The sequence below is a fragment of the Homo sapiens genome, chromosome 9 (assembly GCF_000001405.40).
Source record: "Homo sapiens chromosome 9, GRCh38.p14 Primary Assembly".
Lineage (NCBI taxonomy): Eukaryota > Metazoa > Chordata > Mammalia > Primates > Hominidae > Homo > Homo sapiens.
In genome coordinates this window covers 128,362,078-128,369,263 of record NC_000009.12, presented here as the reverse complement: position 1 = coordinate 128,369,263, position 7,186 = coordinate 128,362,078, and the positions used below count along the sequence as shown (strand labels likewise).

At 53.0% G+C, this 7,186-nt stretch overlaps 3 annotated features.

The window, feature by feature from the left end:
- Window positions 3,443-4,334: an enhancer, noted in NCBI's record as "OCT4-NANOG-H3K27ac-H3K4me1 hESC enhancer chr9:131127209-131128100 (GRCh37/hg19 assembly coordinates)". NCBI's record gives its function as "activates a minimal SCP1, AML or CMV promoter by ChIP-STARR-seq in naive and primed H9 embryonic stem cells {active_cell/tissue: H9 hESC(naive and primed)}" and the evidence as "EXISTENCE:reporter gene assay evidence [ECO:0000049][PMID:30033119]".
- Window positions 4,032-4,101: a silencer, noted in NCBI's record as "silent region_20338". NCBI's record gives its function as "represses an Ori minimal core promoter by ATAC-STARR-seq in GM12878 lymphoblastoid cells {active_cell/tissue: GM12878}" and the evidence as "EXISTENCE:reporter gene assay evidence [ECO:0000049][PMID:35858748]".
- Window positions 4,335-5,225: an enhancer, noted in NCBI's record as "OCT4-NANOG-H3K27ac-H3K4me1 hESC enhancer chr9:131126318-131127208 (GRCh37/hg19 assembly coordinates)". NCBI's record gives its function as "activates a minimal SCP1, AML or CMV promoter by ChIP-STARR-seq in naive and primed H9 embryonic stem cells {active_cell/tissue: H9 hESC(naive and primed)}" and the evidence as "EXISTENCE:reporter gene assay evidence [ECO:0000049][PMID:30033119]".

The following is a 7,186-nucleotide window of genomic DNA, read 5'->3' as shown; positions in this document are numbered from 1 at the left end:
AGTGAGCCGTGATCATGCTATTGCATTCAGCCTGCATGACAGAGTGAGACTCCGGAGTGCAATGGCATGATCACAGCTCACTGTAATCTTGAGCTGCTGGACTCAAGGGAACCTCCTGCCTCAGCCTCTAGAGTAGCTGAGACCACAGGCACTGATAAAGTCCTTCCTTCCTTCTAGTCCACCATGCCCGGCTAATTTTTAAAATTTTTTTGTAGAGACATGTTTTCACCATGTTGCCCAGGCTACTCTCAAACTCCTGGGCTCAAGCAGTCTGCCTGTCTTGGCCTCCCAAAGTGCTGGGATTACAGGTGTGAGGCACCACACTGGGCCAAAAAAAAATTGTTTTGTTTTTGAGACAGATTCTTGCTCTGTCACCCAGGCTGGAGTGCAGTGGCATGACCTCGGCTCACTGCAATCTCTGCCTGCCAGGTTCAAGAGAGTCTTCTGCCTCAGCTTCCCGAGTATCTGGGACTACAGGCTTGCGCCATCATCCTGGCTAATTTTTGTACTTTTAGTAGAGATGGGGTTTCACCATATTGGCCAGGCTGGTCTCGAACTCCTGACCTGGTGATCTGCCCGCCTTGGCCTCCCAAAGTGCTGAGATTACAGGTGTGAGCCACTGCACCTGGCTTGGCCAAAGAATTTTTAATTTAAAAAAAATTTTTTTTGTAAAGATCTAGGAGTACAACTACCAGCTTTATATGCAGGCCCTGGCCAGGCACAGTGGCTCACGCCTGTAATCCCAGCATTTTGGGAGGCCAAGGTGGATGGATTGCTTGAGGCCAGGAGTTCAGAACCAGCCTGGGCAACATGATGAAACCCCATCTCTACCAAAAGCCAGGCATGGTGGCACACACCTGTAGTCCCAGCTACTCAGGAGGCTGAGGCACAAGCTGGGAGGCGGAGGTTACACTACTGCACTCCAGCCCTGGGTGACAGTGAGACTGTCTGAAATAAAAATTAAAATTAAAAATTAATATATCTAGGTCCTACTACTTTCTAGCTGTGTCTTTGGGCAAGTCCCTTAACAGCTTTGCGCCTCAGTTTCCTCATCTGTAAAATGGGGATAATAACATCCCAACCCCATAAGGTTGTAGTGAGGAGTGAGTAAGTTCTTGGCACAGTGACTCTTTCCTAAAACAGGTTCTCTCAGCCGGGCGCAGTGGCTCACACCTGTAATCCCAGCACTTTGGGAGGCTGAGGCAGGTGGATCACTTGAGATCAGGAGTTCGAGACCAGCCTGGCCAACATGGTGAAACCCATCTCTACTAAAAATAGAAAAATTAGCTGGGCATGGTGGTGCACACCTGTAATCCCAGCTACTTGGGAGGCTGAAGCAGGAGAACTGCTTGAACCCGGGAGGCTGGAGTGCAGTGGCGCAACAAGAGAGCTAGACTCCGTCTCAAAACAAACAAAACAAAACAGGTTCTGTGTTCCCCATCTCAGGAATACCACTACCACCCACCAAAACACCCAAGTAAACACCCAAATTACCCTAATTTTCCCTCTCTCATATCCAAACAGTCACCAAATTTGGATGAGTCTCCCTTCTTTTTTTTTTTTTTTGAGACGGAGTCTCACTCTGTCGCCCAGGCTGGAGGGCAGTGGTGCGATATCAGCTCACTGCAAGCTGTCTCCCGGGTTCACGCCATTCTCCTGCCTCAGCCTCCCAAGTAGCTGGGATTACAGGCGCCCGCCACCAGGCCTGGCTAATTTTTTGTGTTTTTAGTAGAGATGGGGTTTCACCATGTTAGCCAGGATGGTCTCAATCTCCTGACCTCGTGATCTGCCTGCCTCAGCCTCCCAAAGTGCTGGGATTACAGGCGTGAGCCACTGCGCCCAGCCGAGTCTCCCTTCTAATCTGGCATGCCCCCCCAGTCCTCCAGCTCATCACCTCACCTGCACCTGCTTCCTCTCTGGCCTGCCTGCCTCCCACCTCCTCTGGCCTTGGCTTCATTGTACAGATCAACTCCACGGACAGCTTTGAGCCCCTTCAATGTGCCAGGCCCTGTTCCTATAAAACAAGGACAAATGAGACACTGCCCTGGTCCTTGGAAAGTGGAGGACTCACGTGGTACACAGAAAGGCCTCATCCTCACCGTGCCATGTGACCCACCCCTCTGTGGAACTCAGTTTCCCTATTCTGTGAAGAGGTTTGGGACCAAATGATCTTCTAAGGTCTTCTATGCAAACATATTCTAAGATTCTTCTACTGTACTCTAAGCTCCTTCTGGGCAGAAACTTTTCCTGATTCATCTTTGATTATAGCAGGTAGTGCGGAACTTTGTACTCTATAGGGGTTTGCCAAGAGCTTGCTGAATGAGTAAATGAATGAATGATATCAGTCCCCTGCTCAAAGTCACTTAATGGCTTCCCTTTGCCAACAAGCTAAGGGCCTACCTAGAAGGCATACAGAGCCCTTTACAGCCTCTGATTCCAACCCACCTCAGTGTCCCCTGACCTGGAAACTGCCTCCCAGAGCTGGAATGGAGCACTTGGGAGCATTTGAAGAGCTTCATCCACCTGACAAACATTCACTGAGAACCTATTACACACCAGGGCCAGTGTTGCTGCTGGGAACACAATGATGAACAAAACCTGTCAGTTGGCCGGGTGCGGTGGCACACGCCTGTAATCCCAGCACTTTGGGAGGCTGAGGCGGGCGGATCACGAGGTCAGGAGATCGAGACCATCCTGGCTAACACGGTGAAACCCCGTCTCTACTAAAAATACAAAAAAAAATTAGCCGGGTGTGATGGCGGGCACCTGTAGTCCCAGCTACTCGGGAGGCTGAGGCAGGAGAATGGCGTGAATCCAGGAGGCGGAGCTTGCAGTGAGCCGAGATCGCGTCACTGCACTCCAGCCTGGGTGACAGAGCGAGACTCCGTCTCAAAAACAAAACAAAACAAAAAAACAACAACAAAACAAACCACCACCACGAAAAAAAAAAAAAAACCTGTCGGTAGGCCAGGTATGGTGGCTCACGCTGTAATCCCAGCACTTTGGGAGGCAGAGGTGGGTGGATTACTTGAGGTCAGGAGTTTGAGACCAGCCTGGACATGGCGAAACCCCATCTCTACTAAAAACACAAAATTAGCCAGGTGTGGTGGAGCACACCTGTAATCCCAGCTACTTGGGAGGCTGGGGCAGGAGAATCGCTTGAACCCAGGAAGGGGAGGTTGCAGTGAGCCGAGATTTCGCCACTGCACTCCAGCCTGGGCGACAGAGCCAGGCTCCAACTCAAAACAAAACAAACCCCAAAACCTGTGGGTCTCCTTGCCCTCCTGGGGCTGATGTTCAAGGAGACCACATAGAGGGAACCACAGAAGACAGAGCAATCCATGGTATGGAGGGAGAACACGGGGCCTGTGGGAACCAGAGGAGGTCCCCAACTTAGTCCTGGGGTCCGGGAAGGCTTCCCACAGGAAGTCACATGGAAGCCCAAGTCTAAAGGAGGTGTTGGGAGTCTATGCACGGGGCCAGAGACACTCCCTCCCTACTGGAATCTCCCAGGCAGGTGGTCCTCCAGCTTCTCCTGGCACAGCCCAGAGATTGGTGAGCTCTTTGGGTAAACCAGCCCACTCTGTGGATGCCCAGCTATCACTGATAAAGTCCTTCCTTCTAACCCAAGCCTACCCCACTCCATCCTTTAGTTAGTAACAATATTAGCTTAACACCCATAATCTTTCAAATAGTATTTATTGCACGCCCACTTTGCACCTGCCAGGTGCATTACATGCACCCCCTAATTTACTCCTCACAGGGACTCTTTGTGATCCCTTTTTCAGATGAGAGCACCGAGACTCCGAATGGGTGGCTTGCCTGAGCCCCCGTAAGGCCTCAGCCCCAGGCTTTTGTGTCCTCGGGATCCCTGCCCCTTATGCACTGACCTCACTGCCTCCCCTTGGACTAGCCTCACCCAAATGCTTTCCCTTTGGGTCCACACAGAACAGGGGCTTGGGCCCCATTCCCTGTTCCCTCCAGCAGGCCGGCCAGCCCGGGCGTAGGCCTCCGTCCTCTCTGAAGCTCGCAGGGAGACAATGGCAGGGTCGGCTGGGGAGGCGAGGGCGCGGGTGCCCCCCTGCCTGCTGTCCTTTGTCTTCCCGCCTGCTCCCCTCGCGCGCCCCGGGAGGCTGGGAGGCGCCTCTCGCAGGCTTCCTCCTCCCATTCTTGTGCTAATTGGGTGTCAAGCTGAGATCAGTGAGAAAGAAATCCGCCCCGGCTCGGGTTAAACTGCCGCCAAAGACGAGGGCTGAGCCCAGAATATCATTAGGCCGGGAGGAAGCAGGGCCCCCTCCTCGGGGGGAGGGGCCGGCTACGCATTTCAAGCCCCTTTGAAAGTCACTCGGTCACCCCCTCCTTTGCTGCCGCAGCCTCAATGGGCCCCTCGGAGGTATTTAACCTTCTTCCCAGGAACTGAAAGTGATACACCATGCAGTGGCCTGGACAGCCACTTGCCTGTCCCGAGGGCAGCTGGACCTCCGGGAGCGCACGAGGCTGGCCCCTTCCAGCCTCTCCTGGAGGAACAGTTTGCAGATGGGAACACTGAGGTTCAGGGAAGGGGACTTTCCTCCCAGTTCTGCCATTCACAAGCTCTGTGGTATTTGGGAGAGACTTTGCCTCTCTGAGCCTCAGATTCCTCATCTGTGAAATGGGGATAAAAATGTACCTGCTTTGGGCTGGGCGCGGTGGCTCACGCCTGTAATCCCAGCACTTTGGGAGGCCGAGGCGGGTGGATCACTTGAGGTCAGGAGTTCGAGGCCAGACTGACCAGCATGGTGAAACCCCATCTCTACTAAAAATACAAAATTAGCCTGGCGTGGTGGCAGGTGCCTGTAATCCCAGCTACTTGGGAGTCTGAGGCAGGAGAATGGTTTGAACCCGGGAGGTGCAGATTGCAGTGAGCCGAGATTGGGCTACTGCACTCCAGCCTGGGCAACAAGAGCAAAACTCCATCTCAAAAAAAAAAAAAAAAAAATAGTACCTGCTTTGAATAGGAGGATTTTAAAAAAACAAGGTACGTGCTTTGAATAGAAGGATTTAATGAAATCATGCACATAAAGCGCTTTGCACAGGGCCTGACACATAGAAGTGCGCCGTACATTGTGGACATTAATGGCAGCCTAAGGAAGTGGGTTTGACTTGATACTCGGACCTCCAAATGGAGCTTGCTCCTCTCTGGAGGCGTAAAAATAGAAGAGCCCACAAAGGATTCTAACAACTCTAACCCCTCTCCCCAACCCTGCAGCTTCGCTGCCTGCCCTTATTTATTTGAGACAGTCTCACTCTGTTGCCCAGGCTGGAGTGCAGTGACATGAGCGCTCAGCCCACTGCAACCTCCGCCTCCCAGGTTTCAAGCGATTCTCCTGCCTCAGCCTCCCGAGTAGCTGGGGTTACAGGTGCCCACCACCACGCCAGGCTAATTTTTGTTTTTAATATAGAGATGGGGTTTCATCATGTTGACCAGGCTGGTCCCGAACCCCTGACCTCAAGTGATCTGCCTGCCTGGGCCTCCCAAAGTGCTGGGATATAGGCGTGAGCCACTGCGCCTGGCCTGTCTGCCCTTTTAACCTGCCCTGGACTTCCAGCCCTCTACATGTGGTTGCTTCCTCCATCTGGAACAATCTTCCTTGAAAGCCCTCCCTGACCAAGATACACCCAGCCTATGTGCTGGATTAGGTGCAGCTAAGCACACAGCCTTTGCTTCTTTACTCACCATCCCCCTCTCTGGAGATGGTGGCTCCCTGAGGGCAGATCTGGGACCCAGGTCTCTATCTTGCTCATCTGGCAGTTCCCTGCCCTCCCTGCACAGGGTAGGCCTTTAGAATTTGCTCCATAGGGCCGGGTGCGGCGGCTCACACCTGTAATCCCAGCACTTTGGGAGGCCGAGGCGGGCGGATCACCTGAGGTCGGGAGTTGGAGACCAGCCTGACCATGGAGACACCCCGTCTCTAATAAAAATACAAAATTAGCCAAGCGTGGTGGTGCATGCCTGTAATCCCAGCTACTCGGGAGGCTGAGGCAGGAGAATCGTTTCAAACCGGGAGGCAGAGGTTGCGGTGAGCCAAGATCATGCCACTGCACTCCAGCCTGGGCAACAAGAATGAAACTCCGTCTCAAAAATAATAATAATAATAATTTGCTCCATAGATGAACTTACAGGGTGCTCTGTAAACTGTGGGGCACTATATAAATGTCAGGAAATGCCTGAGAAACAGTAGCTATTTTTGTCAGTTAACCTCACAAGCATGTATTAAGCACCTGCTGCATGCACGGAGATGACTCACACAGCCATGGTTGAGGTATGATCAGATGCAGACCCGAGAGGTGAAGGGGTCACAGGCCCACCAGTCCCTGTCCATCATGGAGGGGCTGCAGTGGGGCCTAGTACAGAAGTGGGAAACTTAGCCTAGTCTAAGTGAGGTTTTAACATCTAAATATATCTCCTTTTTCTCTTTTAACTACCATGCACTGAGTGGACACCAGCACCAGGCCTAGTGCTGAGATTTTCGTGCATGATCTCATTGAATTTTCACAACTATCCCAAGATAGGGATTCCTTGACCTTCATTTACAGGAGAGGAAACTGAGGCTTAGCCTGGCAAGTGGTAGAGCTGGGATTTGGATGCAGGCCTGTCCGACTCCAGAGCCAGAGCTCTTCACCACCACTGCATATTGCCTTCGGGTGACTGTGTTCAACCTGGAGGAAGGAATGCCCCGCTCTGAGAGCTCCTTCTTCCCACTGTGGAGAACTCACTACTGAGGGTTAAAGACACAAAGCCGCACTGCCAACCAAATCCAGGTCCTTGGAAACCCGACCAAAGGCCCTCGGAGGCCTGTCACAGGGTCCTCTAAGTTGGGAACCTGCTCGCGGCTGAGGTGGGAATCAGCCTCTCCATGCTTCCCTCGGCTAAGGGCCAGGAGTGGATTCTCCAAGCTCCACACGCCCTCTGCTGATCACACTCAGGCACGGCAGCTATACCTGCCACATGACTCCACTCAGCACCGCTCCGCAAGGCCCCCACTCCAGTTCTGCCTCTGCATCCCAAATTCTCCCAAGACAGGCACTGGATTCCTCTGTCTTTCCAAGTGCACTCCCCCAGGAGGCACCCCAGCTTTCAGCCTGGCTACCCTCCGCCTGCACTGTCAGCTGCTGGCCCGGGGCGTGGCCAAGGCGGCCCTGCAGG